Source organism: Homo sapiens, chromosome 13 (assembly GCF_000001405.40).
Source record: "Homo sapiens chromosome 13, GRCh38.p14 Primary Assembly".
Taxonomy (NCBI): Eukaryota; Metazoa; Chordata; class Mammalia; order Primates; family Hominidae; genus Homo; species Homo sapiens.
Window position 1 is genome coordinate 49,423,530 of NC_000013.11, and position 23,612 is coordinate 49,447,141.

A 23,612-nucleotide genomic window follows, 5' to 3' on the forward strand; every position below is an offset into this window, starting at 1 on the left:
CAACAGAGAAACACTCCCATCCCTACAAAAAATAAAATAAATCATTTTTTAAAAAAAGAGTAAAAATTAGTAGGAGAGAAAGGGAAGTCAGACCCTAAGTTGCTGTAAAGGTAAAAGTTCATAAAAACCAGAAAATAAAAACAAGTAAGCAACTCTCTTCCCATACACGACAACCTTATTAATGCATTTATTCAACATTTATTGAACAAGAACTATATACCAGGTACAACACATGGAGAACACAAACATAAATAAGCATTAACTGCTAAAGAGCTCATCATCTATAAGGTGAAACAGAACAAAAAGTAATTGTAGACCTAGAAAAGTTAAGGAATTTAACTAAAATGACAAACACAGAAAAATCTGTTCGGCAAATTTCTAAGTTATAACTTCAATGGCATTCTTATTCTTTGGTGACAGGAAAGAAAAAGGGAGCAACTTCACTCTATTAACAATAAAAATCTCTAAAAATAGAATAACAAGTCCATACTGACATAAGCTATTGAATAATAAATAAACGGGAGAGAAGAGACAATCTCCTGTGCAGAAGAATTCCAAGTAATTAGCAGGTGGAACATAACTCCCCACTCCCTGAGTGTAAGTTATAGATCGTGACTTCTTTCCAGAGAGCAGCATGAAAAGAGGGGTAATGGAAACCTGACTGTGGAGAAACCTCACCAACACTACCTCACCCTAGTGATCAAGGTCAACATCAACAGTGATAAGTCACATTGACAGTATGTGATGAAAATGGCACTGCGCTTCTGCGATCTTCCTCAAAACTCGTAACCCCAGTCTAATAAAGAGAAAAACATCAGACAAGTTCAAATTGAGGAACACTTTTACAAAGCACTTAACCAACACTTCTGAACACTGTGAAGGTCATAAAAAACAAGGAACGTCTGAAAAACTGTCACAGCCAAAAGGAGCCTAAGGAGACATGATGACTACATGTAACGTGGCATCCTGGAACAGAAAAGGCTCATTAGGTAAAAACCAAGACAATTTGAACAAAGTATGGACTCTAATTAATGATAATGTAAAAATGTATCAGTATTAGTTCATTAATTGTAACATGTTAATATGTAACAGTTAATAAACTGGTTGTAGGATATATGGGAACCCTCTGCACCATCTTCGCAATTTTTCTGTAAATCTAGAATGGTTTTAAGAAATAAAACTTATTTTAAAACTTGAGAATTAACTTCTCAGAACACTAATTTAGTTTTTAAAAGTCAAAAAATTCCAATGATGGAAAATAAAGGAATACATGAATATATTATGGAATAAATAAGTATATGGAGATTTGCTCCTGACAGGAATTTCTAAATAAGTTTAATGTATATTTTATAATGAGAGGATGGGAATATCAAATTATATATTTTTAAGTTAATGGTACTGAGTTCATTTCACCAGAATTACACCATTATAAAGCTACGATTGACAAAATCCACAAGAATGCATTAAGCAGAAAACACGGCCAAAAACTTTTCAGTAGTAAAACTAATTTAAAATGTAACAAGCACAAAGCAATTCCAATTAAATAAATAATGAAATAGGATGTCAGTTTAGAAAAGAATGAATCTGAATTAATATTTCACAATGCACATGGTAATATATTTCAGGAGGTTAAAAAAGTAAACCTAAGAAAAGTCAAAAAATAACTAAACAGGAGAACATTTTTTTACTTTACCTTAGAAGAAAAATTTGAGTCCTGAAGAAAAAGACAATTTCAATATTGAAAACTTTTATTTTTACATGAAAAATAAAAACTTTTTATGCAATCAATAAAACAAAAATTATAGGAATAAATGTAACAGACTAGGAGAAATCATTACAAAGCTTGCTACCCAAAATATCCATATACAAAAATATAGGCATATGTAGAAAAATACATATGTCTATACACACGTATATAGAGATGAGTATAAAAGTTCAGTTGTGCATTGCCAAGGGAATAATTTCCAAGTAGGAATACAATAAATGAATCAAGACATAGCAAAATGCATAGCTCTGGTAGCAAAATTATTTGGTAAACTATGCAAAAACAGGCACAAAGCTAAAAATATTTACTATTTGGCTTTTTACAGAAAAGGTTTGCCAACCCCTGGGCTAAAGAAGCAAGTTAATTCACTGACCCACACAATTTTTAGTGAGGTTGAGATAGTCATTACAGACAATCCTTTTCAAAAAAGGAGGGAAATGCAAAGTACATAGAATCAGGTTACTAAAATACAGAGGGAAATGTTGGAAATCTGGAAATTCGTTAAGACTCAGTCCTATTTCCATCGGGAAATGATTCTCCATGGCTCTGGGATCCATCTTCCAGGTTCAGCCCTCTGAGACACTCTTTCTTTTTAATGAAAGGTAGCACTTGCTTTCTGCTAAGCAGTTTTCTCATCATGCTTCCTACTTGTAGAAGTTTGGGGGTCCAAAGGCATCTTTTCATTTTGTACTCTCTGACCCCTTTAATCCAAACTAGTAGTGATCCTTAAAATACATTCCTCTTAAAGCTTTGTGGGGGTCCTAGGAATCTCACTGGGGTTCTTTGCATTAAACAAAAGCCACACGCACAAATCTTTTTCAGATAAGCCCTCCTCTACCTTGAGATTCTGCTGAAATGGCTGCAGGATAAGGACCATCCCCTTAAGTTTCTTGGACGCGCTATTGTTTGATTGAATGGATTGGTCAGTCACACCATTAGTCTTTCTTTAGAGGCCCTTTTATGTGACTGAAAAGTACTCTGAGGCAGAAACTTAGATCTTTCTTAAATTTTAACAAAGGATTTTACAGCCACACTCTCAACTTTGTCCTTAGTTTTCCTGACAATGCCTTGGATCTATCTGATCCTTGTTCAAGAAGGAAACCAGAATATTTCACCCTAAAATATGCTTCTTTAAAATATTTTTTTTTTTGAGACGGAGTCTCGCTGTGTTGTCCAGGCTGGAGTGCAGTGGCATGATCTCAGCTCACTGCAAGCTCCGCCTCCCGGGTTCAAGCCATTCTCCTGCCTCAGCATCCTGAGTAGCTGGGACTACAGGCGCCTGCCACCACACCCGGCTAATTTTTATATTTTTAGTAGAGACGGGGTTTCACCGTGTTAGCCAGGATGGTCTCGTTCCCCTGACCTCGTGATCTGCCTGCCTCGGCCTCCCAAAGTGGTGGGATTACAGGAGTGAGCCACCGCGCCCAGCCAATTTATTGCTCTTTATTGAAGATTTTCTATGAGCTGGGATTCTAAACCACTCTAAGCCACTCTTGAGTTACTTTTCTCTCATGTGAACTGCACTGCAGCATTACTATACGTGTTTGTTTCTCTCTTGTTCATCTGTTTTTTGCTGCAGGAGTCTGTCCCAACTACGAACTTATGAAGGTTGAGGAAAATTATTATTTCTCCCTTTCACTTAGAAGAAGCCATTTCTTAATTTAGCATCATTTACTGTTTGGAGAGGCTGACATGGTCAAAACTATCAAGTCTCAGCACCTTCAGGTTTATCAATCCTTTCTTTAGCATACTTGCTCCTGTCACTCTTTAGGCACAAACCAGGTGGCACCTTCAAGTCTAGTTGGAAATCTTCTTAGCTACGGTACTCAGTTCATTATGTGCATTCTAGTTTCTACATTACTACAGGTGACAGTGTTGCATTATAAAGCTTATGCTACTATATTAGAAGGATCCCCTTTCCTCCAGTTTCTAAAAAGATTCTCCCATTTTCCTTTAAGCCCTTCCTGGCAACCTCACCAAAAAAACATGAGTCTACAGTTTCTCCAAGATACTTTAGATTTACACTGACAGTGTCTTCAATGTCCATTCACCTTTCATCCACTACGAAGTTCCAAAGCCATGCCCACTTAAAATATTTGTTGCTGGGCACCATGGCTCATATGGGATTGTTCCCAAAGCAATCCCAGCACTTTGGGAGGCCAAGCAGGAGGATCACTTAAGCCTAGGAGTTTGAGACCACCCTGGGCAACACAGTAAGACCATATCTCTACAAGAAATAAAAGAATTAGCTGGGCGTGGTGGTGCACACTTGTAATCCCAGCTACTTGGGAGACTGATATGGGAAGACTGCTTTAGCCCAGGAGGTCAAGTCTGCAGTGAGCTGTGATAGCATCACTGCACTCCAGCCTGGGCAACAGAGCAAGACCCTAGCTCAAAAAAAAATTGTTGACATCACTTATCTTACTTCATTTGAACTGCTATATCAGAATAACATAGATGGGTGGCTTATAAACAATATAAATTTATTTCTCACAGTTCAGGAGGTTGGGAAGCCCAAGATGAAGGTGTCAGCAGATTCAGGGTCCAGTGAGGGCCCACTTCCTGGTTCACAGATGGCCATCTTTTCGCTGTATCCTCACATAGTGGAAGGCGAAACAAGCTCTCTCAGGACTCTTACAAGGACACTAATCTTATTCATGACAGCTACACCCTAATGACTTGATCACCTCCTAAAGGCCCCATGTCCAAATACCATCTCATTAGGGATTAAGTTTCAACATAGGAATTTTGTGGGGACACAATCAGTCTACTGCATCAATCAACCTCTAGTGCCAGTATCAAATTAGTTGTCTACTGTGTAACAATTATCCAAAACTTGTAAGCTTAAAACACATAGCTTAAGATCTATTATTTCACATAGTTTCTGAGAGTCAGGAATCCAGGAGTAGTTAGCTCAATGGTTCTGACTCAAATGTCAGCCTCAGGCAGGAATGCAATCATCATGAAGTTTGACTGGAGCTGGAAGGACTACTGGCTACTGGCTAGAGGCTTTGGTTCTTTGCTGTTTGGGCCTCTCCATAGGGATGCTCACTTGACTAGCTTCTCCCAGAGCAAGTGATCAGCAAAAGCGTGATAAAGATGGAAACTGCAATGTCTTTAATAATCTAATCTTAAAATTAACATTCTGCTGTTTTTTATTGGTCACACAGACCAGTCTTGGCACAGTATGGAAGAAGAATGAATCCACAGGGCGCAAATACCAGCAGGTGGTGGGGGCCATCTTGGAGGCTGGCTGCTGCAGTGGCTTGGCAATTCCAGGCAGAGTCTCATTTACAACACCCAAATAAGGAAGGAAAGAAACAGGGAGGGAAAGGGGGAACTTCTTCACATAACTTCTCTTTTCTTAGGGGGAAAATATTGTTCAGGGAGCTCTCCAATAAACTTCTATATCTCTTTGGCCTGAAGAGAATAAAACAGTTACCCACTAAGTGCCAAGGAGCCTAGAAAAATAAGTATGTGGCATTTTTTGCCTCAATCATAAAAAGAAAGCAGGAAAGTAGGAGGTTGGTATGACTTTTGCATAGACAACGGTCTACCACAAAAGTTAAGTAAAAAGCATAGCAAAGATAAACAAGTCAATGATTACAATCACATATTTTGAATATATATTTCTAAATTCCAGAAATTAAATGGTTTACTTCAAAGATGTCTGAAAATTTGTTTTTAAGTTGATATAAATGTAAACAAAAAATGCTAAATTAATATTCCTCACTATAATTATATAGCATTTTATAATATCCAGACTGTTCATATGTATTCTTTACAATAGCCTTGAAAGAAAACTAAAGCAAATATTATTATGTTAGCCCCACTTTACAGATAAGAAACATGAATCAATGGTATGACCATAGCTCACTGCAGCCTTCAACTCCCAGACTAGAGTGATGCTCCTGCTTCAACCTTCCTAGTAGCTGGCCCTACAGGCATGCCACCATACTGGCTAATTTTTAAAATTTTTTTAGAGATGAGGTCTTATTATGTTGCCCAAGCTGCTCTTGAATTCCTGACCTCAAGCGGTCCTCCTGCCTCAGCCTCTCAAATAGCTGAAATTACAGGCATGAGTCACTGCACCCAGCAAAAAATTATCATTTTTGACAACACTAATACTACAGTAATTTGCTTAACCCTCTATCACTGACATTAGGTTATTTCCCATTTGTCACTCTCATAGTCAATCCTATCAAAATATTTTCATGCATTATTTTTCCCTCCTTACTTAGTTTATTTTATTAGGAAAAAATACCACAAATTGGCTGACTGGGTCAAAACATACATACATTTTTTAGAACCTTGCTATATGCTGATTTCTAAAAGCAATTTAATATAGTTTAGTTAACTAAAGATGCTACCAGCATGAGTATACCATGAGGTTCACCAAAACCTCACCATCCCCAAGTACCTCGTTGAATTCTTGCTTATTTAGAATGAAATAAAATGTTCTCTTATAGTTTTAATTTGCATTTATTTGATTACTTGTGGGATTGAACACTCCTTTTTGTGTTTTTCACTTTGTTCTTATGAGAACTATAAATTCATATCTGTATTTCATTTACTATAGTCTTGAGATTTTTCTTATAAAATTTAATAAGTTATTTCTCATAAACATGCTTTGTTATTTGGTTCAAATATTTCTTCTAATGTTACCTTTTTTATTTTGGTTTAACCAACATTCATTTGTACAAAAAAAGTTATATAATAATTCTATTCTATAAAATGCTCTTCAGTGTTTTGTTTTGTTTTTTCACTCCAAAATGGAAAAGTTACTAGCTGTCCAAAAAGTTGATAAACATGCTACCAGCTATAATACTTATTCTCCTTTTAATCAGCCTGGGGTTTATTTTGATCTATGATATTCAATTTAAATTTAGTTGCACAATTCAAAAATTGCACTTAACTAAAGATGCCCTTTTGCATGCTGCTAACTGCTATAGATAGTTGGGCGGATTAAGATAACCCAAATAATGTGGAACTACTATAAATAATATAAATGCTGTGAATTTAACTATAAAATTTGCCATAGGAAATCAGTAAGGCATACGTAAACATTACCTAAAAGAGACAAAACAGCTCCCAGACCCACACAAGGTGGCTATAACCTAATTGAAAGTGCTCTAACATTATCTATTTTAGAAGACAAATGGGTCATTCAGAAGGGGCACTGGTCAGCCACTGGCGTATAGGGCAGGGAAAAAAGTTACTGGGTTTTTCTCCTTTTTCAATTAATTCTTCCTACTAACTATACATTTCTTTTTTCACCAATCATTTTCAAGAGTTTTTTAGCTTCCTGTGCTTGTTATGTGGTACTCCCACTCTCCTTTATTTAGGAAGTTAATGATTTTAGTTATTTCTTATTTTATCCTAGAGACTAAACTTTTTCTCAAGTACACTCTAGGTGAGTTGTCTGGTCTCAGGGTCTGGATGTTTCTGATCTGGAGGTGAGACTGGTATCGACATGGCTGCCTAAGGCTATCTTTGCTGATGTTATCAAATCTTTGAAGCCTAATTCGTAATTCCTGTTAATACCGCAAGTGTCATACCTGTTCTCTTCCTATTTTCATAGAATTGCACTGAAAGGCTTAATAGTCATATAATCCAAATAGAAACTCAATCTGCAAGCCTTTCACATGAATTATTATCAAGACATGTTCCTCTATTCACTGTTTCTATTTTCTGGCTTTGTTTCTTTAAAAAGTGTTCTGTTAAGAAATAATTAACAATAAGCTGCACATATTTAAAGCGTACAACTCAAAAAGTTTGGACATATGTGTATTTACCTGTGAAACCATCATCACATCAAGATAGTGAACCTCCTAAATCTTTCCTGTCCCTTTGAATTCCTTTCCTCCCTTTCCTTGTTGTCTCCTCTGCATTTGATATGCTTCCATTGCAATACAGCACTTATATTTTTCAGAACTTTTAATAAGTGTAATATATTCTTTTTTGTCTGGCTTCTTTCACATAGCGTAATTGTTCTGGGGTTCATCCACTTTGTTACAAATATTGCTGAGGAGTATTCCATTGTATAGATATACCACAATTTTGTTATTCAATTACCTGTTAATAACTACTTTGGAAAACGGTTTTAGCAGCTTCTTAAAAAATAAAAAAAGGCTGGGCGTGGTGGCTCACGTCTGTAATCCCAGCACTTTGGGAGGTCAAGGCGGGTGGATCACTTGAGGTCAGGAGTTCCAGACCAGCCTGGCCACCATGGTGAAACCCCATTGCTACTAAAAATTAAAAAATTACCTGGGCTTGGTGGCACACTCCTGTAATCCCAGCTACTTATGAGGCTGTGGCAGGAGAATTGCTTGAACCTGGGAGGTGGAGGCTGCAGTGAGCCAAGATTGCACCACTGCACTCCAGCCTGGACAACAGAGTGAGACTCTGTCTTAAAAAAAAATAAAAAACAAAAAATAAAATAAAAAACAAAAAGTAAAAAAAATCTACCTACCATTCCATTCCCAGGAATTCACTCAAAAGAAAAGAATGCATATGTCCATATAAAAACTTATACATGAATATTCATAGTATCTTTATCTGTATTAGCTAAAAATTAGAAACAATTCATCTCCATCTACACAGCACAGATAAACAAATTGTGGTATATTCATAAAGTGACATACTACTTGGCAATAAAAAGGAATAAACTATTAATATACATTACAGACAATACAGATAAATCTCAGAATAACTAAGCTGAGTAAAAGCAGAACAAAAAAACGAGTATTTATTTCTTGCCAATTCTTTTTTTAATGTACCTGGTCACTTTATAGCCCCTTACTCTTTATTTATTTTATAATCCCTATTTTATTTATTGAACATATTAAACTATGTACATATATACATATTTAGACATACATACAAGCTCTTGATCTGTTGCCCAGGCTGGAGTGCAGTGGTGTGACCATGGCTCACTGCAGCCTTGACCCCCAGGCTCCAGCAATCCTCCCACCTCAGCCTCCTGAGGTACGCACCACCATACCCAGCTAATTCTATTTATTGTAGAGACAGGGTTTCACTATATTGCCCAGGCTGGTCTTGAACTCCCGGGCTCAAGCGATCCTCTTGCCTCAGTCTCCCAAAGTGCTGAGATTATAAGTGTGAGCTACTGCAACTGGCCATAAACATATTTATTTCATGTAATGTATATTTCTAATAATCGAAATCTCTATAGATCTCTTTCAGTTGTTTGCTGTTTCTGCTGACTCTTGCTCTTGGTGTTTTGATGTTTTCTCCCTTGTTACATTTTGTAATTTTAAAAAATGTGTATGAGCTTATTTGTTAGAATTTTAACTACAATTATTTGATGAATGCATTGATCGTACATTCCTCCATGGAGGATTTTTTTATTGTTCTTACAAGGTACCTGAGAGTATTACAGACTGAGGTCCAATTTAAATTAAAATCCTCCACTTGTGGAGTTTTAGAAACTGTAAAAATTGTGTAAATTAAGGCCCCAAATTCAAGTGAATGTGAGCTGATAACCAAGAATTATTAGGGAAGATTTTAAGTCTACCCAGAACTGAATATCTTTGCAAGATGGTCTCTGACCAGGCTTCTTACCTTTATATGGGACCCAGGGATCTTTTTCTCTAGTCCTCATCCTGCTCCTTACACAAAGCTTCAATGCCAACAGAAATCCATGGATGCCCCCAAAGTATTCAATGACTTCAGCACCTGCTTATCTCACAGGATATATTATACTTGTTTTGTTTCTAGCCCCAGAAAGTTTCCCTTATTTTCTTAATGGGCTCATCCATTCATGTTAAAGGATATTTTTTATACTGAATCTAGTACTTTACATGTTTGGTGGAGGGAGGAATTCAGGCTCTCTAGTCTATCATATTGCTACAAATCAGTCTACTATTTCTGCAACTGCTTTATAACATTTAAATACAATATTATATTTATTCCTGATACATTTTATTTTGGTATGTTGAGCATAGTCTACACGTCTGTCGAGAGCACTTAAAATCTTGATTGAGTCATCATACTAGCTTACCTTAGAAGTTGTATATCATTTGCAAATTTGTTTGAACCTTCTTAGCTTTCACCAAAGTCACTGATCACCACAGCTTCTGACAAAAAGAAAAGCTTTAAAATTAATTTTTAAAGTCTTTATAGTAAATCCAACATATTTTCTTATTGCTTTCAGGTATACAGAATTACAAATTAAATTTCCATCATAATCAAATACTAATACATCAAATTAAAACAGGTAAATTTTCATATCCCAATAACTCAAGTGGCAGACCTTTCAAACAGTAGTATTGAACTGAATGAAAAATATATTTATCATCAAGGGAAACCAGTGGAAACATAAAGCGTTAGTTTGGGTAAAGGGCGCTCTAGTACCTCTGAAATCTCCAACAGCCCCCATCTTCAAAAGGAAGAAACACAATTTATTTAAACTAGTATCTTAAAGGTCAGTGTTTACAAAAAGGCTGTGGGAAGGCTTTCCTGACTGAAGGATGCTTTCTTCCCCTTAGATGTTCAGTAAAATTTTAGCTCTTTCATATTTCTATTGTTTCCTAGCACAAAACATAGAAGAGCACTGAAGGGTCATAAAGGGAAGCTTTGAAGGGTTTCTTGCTTTTAACAACATCATGAAAACCCATGCCTGCTAGATTTTTTCTTTTCTACTCCACCACTTTTAGTTCGCACCTTTACTAATTTCAGTCACCAGCGACAATTTCTGTAAAATCTATCTCCATCACAAGAGTGTGTATGCGTGTGCTTGTTTCCCCATCAGAAATAAGAGAAAACTTACGCTTCTCTCCTTTAGTGCATTGCTCTTGCATGAAGAATGAACAAACCACTGATTTGGGGTTCGCATCTTTACGTTCTGAACAGCAACTTAGAACACTTTGCTCCTGATATTCTTTCTTCTCAATATTTGATGGATATCCTGCAATAATGTAGGAAAAACAGCACAGGCTTTGGAGTCACATCAATCTGGTTTTAAATCTCAATCTTCTACTTAGTAACTGGCTAATCTGAAGCAAATTTTTAATCTCTCTGAACCTAGTGGGAAAATAAGATGGGTCTCAATGTACAGCTGCAAGAAACAAATGATATAGCATATATATATAGTGTCAGCAAAGTGTCTACCATATAACACAAACTCTATTATGTTAGCTTTCCTGTGTAATTTTATGCTTCATTTTCACTTTACTCAGTCAAACGAATTTCCAGACTAAATTTTCTTACGTTATAGCCTTGATAAATTTTATGGTTTTGTCCAACAACTATCAACATTTTAGGCCAGGTGTACTGGCTCATCACTGTAATACCAGCACTTTGGGAGGCCGAGGCAGGAGGATTAGGCCTGGGAGTTTGGGACCAGCCTGAGCAATATGGTGACACCTTGTCTCTACAAAAATAAAATTAAAAAAAATAAAAAATAAAAACATTTTGCAACACTTAATGCCTTCAAAATAGCAGCACATCAATACTACTACTACTACTGAATATATCCCACCAAGAAAGTACATTTCAAAATCTATGTTCTAGAGCCACTAGAATTTGTTCCTTTTTGTGTGTGGTTATGTCACCAAAATGCGATATAGATGTGTAAACTTGTTTCATTTCCTTTTCAGATTTTTCTTTCATTCTACTTTTTTATTTAATCCCACTTTTGAATATGTAGACATACATGATGATTTAGGGTTAAAACTATAGAAACAACTTCCATTTAGAGAAATCTCTCTTCTGTTGTTGGCACCTTTACCCTGCTCCTTCCTTCTGCGGATACATTGCATACTTTTCCATGCCTTTGTTTTTTCCACTTCCTATTGTATTCTACAGATCATTCTCTATTGGTATATAGAGACTTTCTCCCTTCTTTTTTATGACCTCTATGGAAAGACGGTGACTTGGAAGGGGCACAATCTACCTGCAGACTGTTGTACTGTCTGGATGCACCTTAGTTTATGCAATCAGTTCTCTATTAATGGGCATTTTAGTTATTTCCAATCTTTTGCAAATGCAAGTAATATGCTGCTATGACTAACCTCCCTTTGACTATTCCCTCCCATGCAGTTTATGCTTATGTATCCTTACCAGCAATGTATCAAAGTGCCTATTTCCCCACAGTCTACAGGGCCTATTGTATAACTTTTGGATTTTGTTGAAAAATGCTTTAACATAGCTTTAATTTATATTTTTCTTTGTATGACTGAAGGTGGAACATCTTTTATTTTTGAGATGAAGTCTTGCTGTGTTGCCCAGGCTGGAGTGCAGCGGCATGATCTGGGCTCACTGCAGCCTCCGCCTCCCAGGTTCAAGCAATTCTCCTCCCTCAGCCTCCCCAGTAGCTGGGATTATAGGTGCTCACCATTACACCCAGCTAATTTTTGTATATTTAGTAGAGGTGGGGTTTCACCATGTTGGCCAGGATGGTCTCAAACTCCTGACCTCAAGCGATCTGCCCACCTTGGCCTCCCAAAGTGCTAGGGTTATAGGTGTGAGCCACCACGCCCAGTCTGGAACATCTTTTATATGTCTGTCATGTGCATTTCTTTTTCATATCTTTGGCCCATTTTCCTACTGGGTTGATGGTCTTACTTGCCTGGAATTTTACGAAGGTGTTTTCATCCAGGAGGTTAGCTCTTTGTGATATAAGTCCAAATATTTTTCCCCGCTTTGTCGCTTGCCTTTTGACTTTGCTCGTGGCATTTTTCACTATTTAAATACTTTTTTATTAATATAGTAGGATTTATCATGGTTTTTCTTTAAGAATGAGTCATAGTTATAAAATCTTTGGCTTATACTTTCGTAGACTTTAAACATGTTGTTCCATGGCTGTTTTGCTTTGTATGTTGCTGTTTAGAAGTCTGTTGCTAACCTCTCCTTTCTGTCTGGAAGCCCAGAGGAATTTTTCTTCATCATTTTGAAAGTCCAACTGTTTTACTAGGACATGACTTGGAACTGACCATTCTGGATCAATTTTCCCAGTACACAATGAGCCTTTTCAACATGTAGATTGGAGTCATCTCTTATTTCCAGAATGTTTTCATGGATTGAAACTTAACTATTAGCTTTGCTATTGTTTTTTTCTTCTTAGGAACTCTACTTTTACTTATTTTCTATATCAATCACTTTCTATTACTTTTTAACCTTTCTTCATTTAATTTTCATTATCTTGGTTGTTTTCATACCTTTTCTCAATGCTCCTTATATTCAGTCCAATCTTTTCTTATGTACCTTGGAATTTAGCTTCATTTCTTTCTTTATGACTTTTTTTTTTTTTTTTTTTTTTTTTTTGAGACAGGAGTCTCTCTATATTGCCCAGGCTGGCCTCAAACTCCTGGGCTCAAGCCTCTCAAATAGCTGGAACTACAGGCATGCACCACTGCATCTGGCTTTAACTTCATTTTAAAAGCTGATTTTTCTTTTGATTTATTTTATTTCCTGAGTTCAGTAAATTCACTTTTCATATCTTCCTCTTTTTGTCCATTTGTTTTGCAGTTTTGAATTTGGATTTGAGACTTTTTATCTCTACAAATGTTAGTTTAAGGATATTTTAAATTCTGGTAGGAGTACTGTGCTGTAGTTTTCTTTAGTGCTATAGTTGGATGTTTCGGGAAGACTTTTCATCAGCTAAAATTTTTTAAAAACTTTTTTCCTTATTTTTTGTAGAGACTAGGTCTCACTATAGTGCCCAGGCTGGGCTCGAACTCCTGGGCTCAAGTGATCCGCCCACCTTGGCCTCTCAAAGGGCTGGGATTACAGCTGTGAGCCACTGTGCCCAGCCCAGTTGAAATGTTTTGACTATCATTTTGTTTTCCAGCTAAAGTAACTTTATATGGATGTTGCCTGCCATCTTCTGTTCATCTTGAAATATTTTATTTTTCCTAAACCAGATATAGTTGTGTATAGGCAGAAGCAAGGAATTTAGATGACTTAACTGGATTTCTTAGTAAATAGTACCTAATAAAGTGTTTTTTTGTTTGTTTGTTTTTAATTAATGACTCCTTTTTGGGTGGGAGAAATGAGTATCTATTTTCTATTCTGGTTCACCAAGATCCTTAATTTCTACTACCCCTTCTCTCTATCACCAAGCCTCCAGGTAGATGGTGACCCTTCCAAGGCACCCTCTTTCCTTTCCCCAGAAGCAGTACTTTCATGAGACTGCGTCTTTGGTCTCATTTTCTTTCAAGTCTCTTATTTTGTCTAATGGATCTTACACCTCTTCTCACTTCTCTATCCAGGGTGGGGCTTTCTCTTTCTGGGAATTATCTGTATTCTGCTACCCCTAGGTCCTGCAACCTCTCCTCTTTTTTTACAGTCTCCACCTTGCTTGCCACTTCTCCATGGATTCTGCTAGACTGCAGTGTTGATTTCCCTGCATGCCCATAGACATTTTGCTAGCTATTAATGTATGCTTACATATCAATAAATTTGTATGGGTTTTCTCTTGTTAACCTACTGTTAGTTTAGTTCAGCCAACTCAGTTATCAAACCTTCAGAAGCGAAATTTAAGCTTCCCTGCAAATTGCTGGTTATTATTTAATATTATTTTGACACAGGGTCTCACTCTGTTGCCCAGGCTGGAGTGCAGTGGCGCAATCACAGCTCACTGTAGCCTTGACCTCCTGCGTTCAAGAGATCCTCCGACCTCTCTCAGCTTCCTAAGTACCTGGGACTACAGGTGTGTGCCACTACGCCCAGTTAATTTTTTTATTTTTTATTTTTTTTAAGAGACAAGCTTTCGCCATGTTGCCCAGGATGGCTGGTCTCAAACTTCTGGGCTCAAGCAATCTTCCTGCCTCAGCCCCGCAAAGTGCTGGGATTACAGGCATTAGCCACCGTGTCCAGCTGGTATTATTTTTATTAGTGTTCTATCTTGCACTTCTGAGTATGTTTAAGCTTCCACCTGTCAGCTTCAAGGGCTTTTTTCTCCCAGCTAATGCCTAAAAGGCAAACAACCTTATTCTACTTCTCATTCACCCTCCTCTTTTCCTCCCATTTTTTTGCGGGTTATATTATTTCTACAATGTCAGACCATGTAATATTTATATACTATTCTATCATCATTATCCTCATCTTTTAATCTTGATGCTACACACAAAATATATTTGATTTGCTCACCACCTGACCTTATGTTGAAGATTTTCCAATCATTTCTTGGTTGTCTGAAATTTGTTCTCTAGTATACGCTTCAGAAGGATTCATGGGAACAATTATAGCCATTTTCCTTGAATTATTTCATGTTTATAAATGTTTGTCAATGCCCTGAATTCTTGAAGGGTAGTTTGGTGAGATAGGAATTATTTTATTTCTTTGAATAAATACTTTCTTAATATCTGACATAAAATGTTGCCACCAAAAATCCAATCTGATTTTCTTTGCAAGTGACCTGCTCTTTTTATTTCCCCCATCAATGCAAGAAGGGTTTATTTTTAAAAATCCAACAATTTTACAGGACCACATCTCAGTGTTAACTGTTGTGGGTTGATTTCTCCAGGTTTACAGTATGCCTTTCAACATATGTTACATTTAAACCTACTTTAATGTTAAGCGTTCTTGAATTACAGTCCTAATAGTTGTTCTGGTCCATTGCTTTGGCTTGCTTTGTTTTACTGTAGTAAAATAAGGAACATAAAATTTACTGTTTTAAAGTATTCAATAAGTGGCATTAAGTATATTCAGTGTTACATAAACATCACCACTATCCTTGGGCTTACATTTGGGGAACTCCATTTATATTTATTCTGGCTCTCTTTGCCTGTCTTGTCACCTCTTGACTCCTTTTTAAAAATCTTTTTATTTTCTTCATTTTTCCATTTTTCTTATCGTACTTTCTGTGATGTATATTCACTCTTGGTTTCTAATGCAATCATCACTTTAAACTGTCTTTTTCTTAATCTTTTATTGAGTTTTGTCTGCTCTCATTGCACCTCCTTCTATGGTCTAGCCATCTCATTTCTTTTTTTCCCCTGAAAACATAGAAAGAGGTGAATTTTATTTACTTTTTTATAATTTCAAGTTCTCTTTTAGATTTGGGGGTACATGTGCAGATTTGTTACATGGGTATACTGTGTAACGCTGAAGTCTGGAGTATGACAGATCCTGTCATCCAGGTACTGGGCATTATACTCAACAGTTAGTTTTTCAACACTTATTGCATTCCTTCCCTGCATAGTATTCCACGGTTCATATGTAACCAATCTATCCCTGATGGACACATAGGTTGATTCCACATCTTTGCTATTGTGACTAGCACTATGATGAACATATGAGTGCATGTATCTTTTTGGTAGAACAATTTCTTTTGGATATACACCCAATAATGGGATTGCTGGTCAAATGGTAGTTCTGAGTTTTTTGAGAAACCTTCAAACTGATTTCCACAGTGGCTGAACTAATTTACACTCCCACCAACCGTGTGTAAGTGTTCCCTTTACTCTGCAGCCTTGCCCACATCTGTTGTTTTTTGACTTTTTAGTAAGAGCCATTCTGACTGGCGTGAGATGATGTCTCATTATGGTTTTGATTTGCATTTCTCTGATGATTAGTGATGTGGAACATTTTTTCATCTGTTTATTGGCCACTTGTTCTTTTGAGAAGTGTCTGTTGATGTCTTTTGACCACTTTTTAATGGGTTTTTTTTTTTTTTTTTTTTGCTTGTTGAATTAACTTCCTTATAGATTCTGGATATTAGACCTTTGTCAGATGCATAGTTTGCAAATATTTTCTCCTATTCTGCAGGTTATCTGTTTGCTCTGTTAATAGTTTCTCTTACTGTGCAGAAGCTCTTTAGTTTAATTAGGTCCTACTTGTCAACTTTTGTTTTTGTTGCAATTGCTTTTGAAGACTTAGTCATAAATTCTTTCCCAAGGCTGATGTCCAGAATGTTTCCTAGATTTTTTCCTAGGATTCTTACTGTTTGAGTTCTTACATTTAAATCTTTAATCCATCTTGAATTGATTTTTGTATGTGGTGTAAGGTAGAAGTCCAGTTTTGTATGTGGTGTAAGGTAGAAGCCCAGTCTTATACACATGGCTAGCCAGTTATCCCAGCACCATTTATTGAATAGGAAGTTCTTTCTCCATTGCTTCCTTTTGTCAATTTTGTTGACCAGATGGCTGTGGGTGTACAGCTTAATTTCTGGGCTCTCTATTCTGCTCCATTGGCCTATATGTCTGTTTTTGTACCAGTACCATGCTTTTTTGGTTACTGTAGCCTCAAAGTATAATTTGAAACAAGCTACACATTCAGTAGCACTGAATGTGTAGCTTGTTTTGGGCAGTATGGCGATTCTAATGATATTGATTCTTCCAATCCATGAGCATGGAGTGTTTTTCCATTTGTTTGTGTCATCAATGATTTCTTTCAGCAGTGTCTTGTAGTTCTTGTAGAGATCTTTCACTTCCTTGGTTAGAGGTATTCCTAGGCAGTGTGTGTGTGTGTGTGTGTGTGTGTGTGTGTGTGTGTGTGTGTATGGCTATCGTAAACAGGACTGCATTCTTGATTTGGCTCTCTGCTCCAACATTATTGGTATAGAAACGCTACTGATTTTTGTACAGAGTTTGTATCCTGAAACTTACTGAAGTTATCAGTTCCAAGAGCCTTTGGTGGAGTCTTTAGGGTTTTCTAGGTATACAATCAGATCATCAGCCAAGAGAGATAGTCTGACTTCTTTTCCTATGTGGATGCCTTTTGTTTCTCTTGCCTGATTGCTCTGGCTAGAACTTCCTACGTATCTCATGTCTGAGCTCTTATTTCTGAATTTATGTGGTTCTTTCAAAGATTTCATCTTTTCCTTAAATTCTCTTAGCTTACTCTGAAATATTTAGATTGTCATTTTCATCTGCTTTGTGGCCACATTTTTGGGGTATGTTTTCATAATCTCGTGCAATGTTTTATGGCTTATTTTGATGATTTTCTTATAATGATTTAGTGTATATATATATATATATATATATTCCCTTTTCCCATATATTTATATAACTATATACTAAAAGGAGGTTCCCGGCTAGGTACAGTGGCTTATGCCTATAATGCTAGCACTTCGGGAAGCCAAAGCAGGAGGATCACTGGAGTCCAGGAGTTTGAGACCAGCCTGGGCAACATAGCAAGATGCCATCTCTCCAAAAAATTAGCCAGGCATGGTGGCACATATCTATAGTCCCAGCTACTCTTGAGGCTGAGGAGGGAGGTTCACTTGAGCCTGGGGGGTCAAGGCTGCAGTAAGCTGTGATCATGCCACTGTATTCCAGCCTGGGCAACATAGCGAGATCCCATCTCTAAAGAAAATAAAAAGGAGGTTCCTATGTTACACTGTATGGACATGCTGGAGTTTAAAAAAATCTATTTCCTAGTGGAATCTGGTTGTTTCCAGTTTTGGCCATTACAAATAAAATCGCTATAAATATTTGCAGAGCAGCCAATATAGGTTTTCATTTCACTTTTCATCAGAGAAGCATACAATCATCAAAGGGGAAATTAAAACCACAATGAGATACCCCATCATACCTCATATAAAGGCTAAATATTTTAACTGATAATGCCAAGTGCTGACAAGGATGAAAAACTACTGGAACTCTCTTATCTTGGTGGTAAATTTCAATCTAGAGTGGGCTTGCCAGATCATGTGATAAGGATATGATTAATTTTATAATAAACTGTCAAATTGTCTTCTAGGTGGCTGTACTATTTGCAGTCTCACCAGCAAGACTAAGGTTTCTCCTTGTTTTGCATCCTTGCCAGGAAATGTATTGTTTGTTTTGACATTCTGAGTAAGAGGTTGTGTAGTATCTCACTGTGGTTTTAATTTGCATTTTTCCAATGACGGTGGTTTTAATTTGCATTTTCCCAATGACTATTCTATACTTCTTTCATTTAACACAAAATGGTAACCACTTTCCTATGTCATTCAACAGCCTATGCCACTACTCTTTGAAAACGTTCCTTTTAAAAGGCTGAAAAATATAATGATGGGATGTGTCATAATTTATAAAACCATTCTTCTACCATTAGATATTTGTTATTTCCAATTTTTCACAAGAACAAAATTACACTGTGATTATAAAGCTTTGATTCTATCTCTATTTCCTTACAAGTTTCTTAGAAAAGGTCAAAAGGTATATGAACTTTTGTTTCTCCATGCATTTTGACAAGCCAACTGGAAGATACAAGTCAAGTGGAAGATACAAGCATGGAATCAAGTAATTAAGAAAAATGATTCTCAGGCCAGGTGCCGTGGCTCACACCTGTAATCCCAGCACTTTGGGAGGTGGAGGCGGGCAGATCATCTAAAGTCAGGAGTTCAAGACCAGCCTGGCCAACATGGTGAAACCCCATCTCTACTAAAAATACAAAAATTAGCTGGGCGTGATGGCCGGTGTCTGTAGTCCCAGCTACTCAGGAGGCTGAGGCAGGAGAATCGCTTGAACCACGGAGGCAGAGTTGCAGTGAGCCGAGATTGCACCATTGCACTCCAGCATAGGCGACAAGAGACTCCATCTCAAAAAAAAAAAAAAAAAAAAAAAAAAAAAAAACATCAATTATTTTGCTGTTTGTTTTGTTTTTTGGTATTCCTGATGCGAGATGTCTTTATCATGTATTGTTGATTAGGTTGTTCATCAGTTAATCTTGAATAACTGAAATCTAAGCTGAAGGCAATAATACATCGGCTTTCTTTTCATGCAAGTCAAACTGCTAAAATCTACCACAAAATATTAGCCTTTCATCAGCTTGGTCTTCAGATCCAATACATTTTCCCCTCAAATGAAAGACAATGCAATGCCATCCACAACAATGCTAAAAAAAAAAAAAAAAAAGGAGGAGGGAAACAAGGTTAAGTCCTGTCTTCTTCCTCCTACCCCAAAAAGAGCTCAGAAATTAAGGTGCTTTCCCTAACAAAGCCTCCTCCTGCTCCATGAAGTGACCAAGCATGTCATGGCAGACCCAGAGATTTATAATCTTCAACATATCGTTATCGGGGAAATCAAGATTTGACAAAATTCTTCCTTCACGCCCCGTTTCTGCAAGACCACCACTTTCTAGCTTAAAATAAAGAAAAAAAAAAGACAGCTGCAGGAATGCTTGGCTGCCCGCTAATGTACAATTTTGCCCAAACGCAGAACTTGACGCCCACTATTACCAAAGGATGGCCTTAGTAAAGTAACCCCCGCGAAGAGCAAACTGTTTAGCAGCCGCTCCCTCGAAAAGGACGGAAGAGGAGGTCTCTTCTGAACCTGAGGATAGTAGAGAGGCACTCCCCTTCCACTACTAGCTTTGCTCCTTTCTCAATCAGGCAGTTCATCAGCTAGCCTCCTTTGTCAAAGGGGGTTGATGGTCAGAATCTTTGCGAGACAAAAATTACTAAAAGAGCTCCCAGGAACCAATGTTAAGGCATCAAAGGCCCCGCCCAGCCCCCACAATGATCAACAAACCAAAACCTGGGATCCCTACTATTACCACCACCACAACCATCACCACCACCACCACCACCATTCCTCGCTCTCTCTAGCCAGGGATGAGACTCAGGCCCAGGAAACCCATCCTTTCCGCAAGTAGGAAGGCGCTGGGTCTCCTCCCTTAGGCCTCTCCTTTACCCCATTGTTCTCTCCGGACCCCTCCACTACGGCCAGGCGCTATGTATGTTTTCAACCCCCAAGAAGCCCAGTCCCAGCCACACACAAGATGGCAGCCTCACACCTACCGGAGGAAACAGCTGCGCCACCACTCCAGTGATGCCGGCCTCTCGACTACGAGTAACTCCATTGGCTCAGCTACAGTGCGCGAGACAAGCCGAGAGCGCTAGCAGTCAATCGGGAGGCGGCGCGCTCGGGCGCCACTGCGGTGCCAGCGGTAAGTGCGCCGAGTCTCTGAGGCGTGAACCAGTGGGGAGTGCGACCAATCAATGGGCTCCTGGCTGGGTGGTGGGACGGCCGGCGTCCGACTCCTCCCATGTAGTGATCGGTTTAGGTAGGTCGGCCTGGTCCCCGGCGGAGGTTACGCCTTCCCTCATCCCCGGTAGAGGCAGGGCGGGACTGTTGTGGTTGAGATGAAGGCTAGTAAATGGTGAAGTACTTCCCGGCCAGAGGGCACCTGCGCTCGGGAGGTTTGGGCGGCTTGGCGTCGGAGGAGAGCCCCACCCGCGGAGGAACCCAGCCTTGCCAACGGAGCTGGCGGAGCTCACTCCTCAGGTCAGGCGGGCGGCGTAGAAAACGCAGCGGAGCCAGGTGAAACCAAGGCACCGCCGTGGCTGGCCCCCGACAGTTCCTCTAGCCGGGAGGTTGGAGGAGCTGAAAACGCCGCGGAGCCCTCGGCCGCCCGAGCAGGGGCTGGACCCCAGCCCTTGCAGCCTCCCTTCTCCTGGCACCCAAGTGCAGTCCTGGCTGCAGAAGGGGCCGCGGGCGCACTGAGTTTCCAACCTCCATTTCAGCCTGTCTGTCTCAGGGTGCAGCCTTAATGAGAGGTGATTCCTAAGCTGCTGGGAACCTGAGGTTGTCAAAGGGGCGGCAGGAAATGGACAGCAGTATAAAACCCAGAAGCAGAACTTGAAGGTTAAACCACTAGCCCATTTCACAGGTAAGATTACACGAGCCCTTAAATACAGCAAGTTCAGTCATTCATCCAAGATCATGGAGTTCAGATTAGATAGTAACACTTCTGACTCGCTATCAGCCACAGCCCAATAAGTAATTAAGTAAGGAAAGATATGTAATTAACTGTGCTCTTTGGCATGTGGAAACCTGCAGTGAGCTCTGTAAATACTAACACATGAGGCCAAGGAGAGGAGTAAATTTGAAGAGGTCAAATGGAGTAACCAAAGCATAGGCTCTGAAACCATGCTGCCTGGTTCCTTATTTCGTGTCTGCCACTTACGGTATGGCATTCCTTAGCTTCCTCATCAGCAAACGAGCTGCTAATTTAACCCACATGACTGTTAGGGGGATTAAATAAGAACACGTGAAGTAGTTAGAAGCGTGACTAACCCGTGGTTCTTAAGCGTGACTTAACCCGTGGTTCTGTCGTTACAATTAAAACGTAAGGAGCCGAGAGGAAATGGTAAACGTGTTTTTAAAGCCTGTTTTAGAAACGAAAAGGAACCATACATTGAAGCAAAGCAGACTGGCTTAATTATTTTTCTACCAAAATGAAAAAGTGAGAAGGGGAAAAAAGTTTTTTAAGCCCATTTACTCTCTGAAATATTAACACCAGTTGTCTCTGGATGATGGGATGGTGTTTAAATTTTCTCCTTTATGCTTTATTGTATTTTGCAGATTTTCTCCAGGAAACATGTTTTACTTGTGCACGTTCAGTTTTCAAATTTTCAGGTGTGAACGCTGGTGAGAGCTGCTTAAAAACAAAGCTATGGGCCGGGCGCGGTGGCTCACACCTGTAATCCCCACACTTTGGGAGGCTGAGGCGGGCGGATCACCTGAGGTCAGGAGTTCAAGACCAGCCTGGCCAACGTGGTGAAACCCCGTCTCCACTAAAAACACAAAAATTAGCCGGGCGTGTGGTGGCGGGCCCCTGTAATCCCAGCTTCTCGGGAGGCTGAGGCAGGAGAATCGCTTGAACCCGGGAGGCAGAGGCTGCAGTGAGCCGAGATCACGCCACTGCACCCTTCTCACTGCACTGGTGACAGAGCGAGACTCCGTCTCAAAAAAAAAAAAAAAATCTATGGCCGTGCGCGGTGGGTGGCTCACATCTATAATCCCAGCACTTTGGCAGATCACTTGAGCCCAGAGTTCAAGACCAACCTGGGCAACATAGACCTCATGTCTAAAAAAAAATAAAACTATTACTGAGTGTGCTTAGGTGGAAGTATAAATTGGTAGAACCTTTCTGGAAGAGAGTTTGACAATATGCTATAAAAAGCTTTAAAATGAATTCCTTTTTGAACATTTATATATACTTAATTTTTAAAAATTAAGTACACTTTTACATTCTTTTACAGAATTGGTACCTTGTAGATAAAGAGCACAATCCAGATTTTGACCTTGAGTTTTTTCTTGCGTGTCAAGGTTATACTTATAAAAACAGTTGAATAGCTTCCCGTATTTTTCCTTCTTGAAAGTTCGTATATGATAAAAATTCTCCGTTCTTTGAAAGTTTTGTACAAGGAATGTTCCCTCACTCCTCTCCCTCCCTACTCCCGCTGGAGACTTTGGTACAGAGCTTTCAAGTGTTTTTTAATACTTACACCTTTTAATACTGTTACATATTCTATATAGGTGAATATATACATTTGTAATTTTTTAGTGGAAAAATACTATACTACATCATTCTGTAGCTTTATTTCTTGACATTGTTTTTGCAGCCTGTACATGTTATTTATAGCTCATTATGTTATTTATGGATCATTTCTTTTACCTGCTGCATAGTGTTCCAGTGTATGACTGAATTGATCTGTTAATATAAAACATTTCTTTGTCTCTTTTATTGGTCTTGTTGTTAAATCCTATTTTGTTTGATGTGTGCTGTATAGCACATTTTATTGCCATTCTCTGAGAACATTAGGTTTCCAGTTTTTCACCATACAACAATGCTGCAAGGAAAATCTTTGTGTTTTCTTGTGCACATGTGCTATTTCTCTAGGATATATACCTAAAAGTGGAATTGCTTGGTTTTAAGTTGTGAGCATTTTTAGTTTTAATAGGTCATGCTAAATTTGCCTCCAAAAATACCTCTACTAATTTACATGTTCCACAGGTAGTTTATGAGAGTTAAGTTTCTCTACAGTTTAGACTAACATGAGATATTATCTTCTTCATTTTTGCCTAGTGATGGCTGCAAATTATATTTTTAATTTTAATTTTCATTCTGTGATCTAAGATTGAAGTGTCTATTATGTTTGTTAACCTAT

The 23,612-nt window shown here is 38.4% G+C and overlaps 3 protein-coding genes across 21 annotated transcripts in view, besides 6 other annotated features; 2 read left to right on the forward strand and 1 right to left on the reverse strand.

Annotated features, from left to right (window-relative positions):
- CAB39L (calcium binding protein 39 like) overlaps positions 1-20,535 on the reverse strand; it is a 135,415-nt gene extending 114,880 nt beyond the window's left edge. For 7 of the 9 annotated variants that reach the window (XM_047430698.1, XM_047430696.1, XM_047430697.1 and 4 more), the window contains exons 1-3: positions 20,350-20,535; positions 10,557-10,694; positions 9,789-9,861 (exon numbers count right to left, since the gene is read on the reverse strand). The gene's annotated coding sequence lies outside the window, so the exon portion shown is untranslated. Of the gene's footprint in view, positions 1-9,788; positions 9,865-10,556; positions 10,695-20,349 lie in introns of all 9 variants that reach the window. The other 2 variants (NM_001079670.3, NM_001287337.2) reach the window with 1 other exon arrangement.
- Positions 19,913-19,982: an enhancer, noted in NCBI's record as "active region_7746". NCBI's record gives its function as "activates an Ori minimal core promoter by ATAC-STARR-seq in GM12878 lymphoblastoid cells {active_cell/tissue: GM12878}" and the evidence as "EXISTENCE:reporter gene assay evidence [ECO:0000049][PMID:35858748]".
- Positions 20,352-21,124: an enhancer, noted in NCBI's record as "H3K27ac hESC enhancer chr13:50018017-50018789 (GRCh37/hg19 assembly coordinates)". NCBI's record gives its function as "activates a minimal SCP1, AML or CMV promoter by ChIP-STARR-seq in primed H9 embryonic stem cells {active_cell/tissue: H9 hESC(primed)}" and the evidence as "EXISTENCE:reporter gene assay evidence [ECO:0000049][PMID:30033119]".
- Positions 20,363-20,442: an enhancer, noted in NCBI's record as "active region_7747". NCBI's record gives its function as "activates an Ori minimal core promoter by ATAC-STARR-seq in GM12878 lymphoblastoid cells {active_cell/tissue: GM12878}" and the evidence as "EXISTENCE:reporter gene assay evidence [ECO:0000049][PMID:35858748]".
- Positions 20,451-20,931: a silencer, noted in NCBI's record as "fragment chr13:50018116-50018596 (GRCh37/hg19 assembly coordinates)". NCBI's record gives its function as "represses an EF-1alpha promoter that drives an FKBP-Casp9 reporter gene in an ReSE screen in HepG2 liver carcinoma cells {active_cell/tissue: HepG2}" and the evidence as "EXISTENCE:reporter gene assay evidence [ECO:0000049][PMID:32094911]".
- Positions 20,603-20,652: a silencer, noted in NCBI's record as "silent region_5341". NCBI's record gives its function as "represses an Ori minimal core promoter by ATAC-STARR-seq in GM12878 lymphoblastoid cells {active_cell/tissue: GM12878}" and the evidence as "EXISTENCE:reporter gene assay evidence [ECO:0000049][PMID:35858748]".
- SETDB2-PHF11 (SETDB2-PHF11 readthrough) overlaps positions 20,745-23,612 on the forward strand; it is an 84,703-nt gene continuing 81,835 nt past the window's right edge. For both annotated transcript variants that reach the window (NR_135324.2, NM_001320727.2), the window contains exon 1: positions 20,745-21,328. The gene's annotated coding sequence lies outside the window, so the exon portion shown is untranslated. The remainder of the gene's footprint in view (positions 21,329-23,612) is intronic.
- The window catches only part of SETDB2 (SET domain bifurcated histone lysine methyltransferase 2), a 50,730-nt gene continuing 47,862 nt past the window's right edge, over positions 20,745-23,612 (forward strand). For all 10 annotated transcript variants that reach the window (NR_172062.1, NM_031915.3, NM_001160308.3 and 7 more), the window contains exon 1: positions 20,745-21,328. The gene's annotated coding sequence lies outside the window, so the exon portion shown is untranslated. The remainder of the gene's footprint in view (positions 21,329-23,612) is intronic.
- Positions 21,125-21,898: an enhancer, noted in NCBI's record as "H3K27ac-H3K4me1 hESC enhancer chr13:50018790-50019563 (GRCh37/hg19 assembly coordinates)". NCBI's record gives its function as "activates a minimal SCP1, AML or CMV promoter by ChIP-STARR-seq in naive and primed H9 embryonic stem cells {active_cell/tissue: H9 hESC(naive and primed)}" and the evidence as "EXISTENCE:reporter gene assay evidence [ECO:0000049][PMID:30033119]".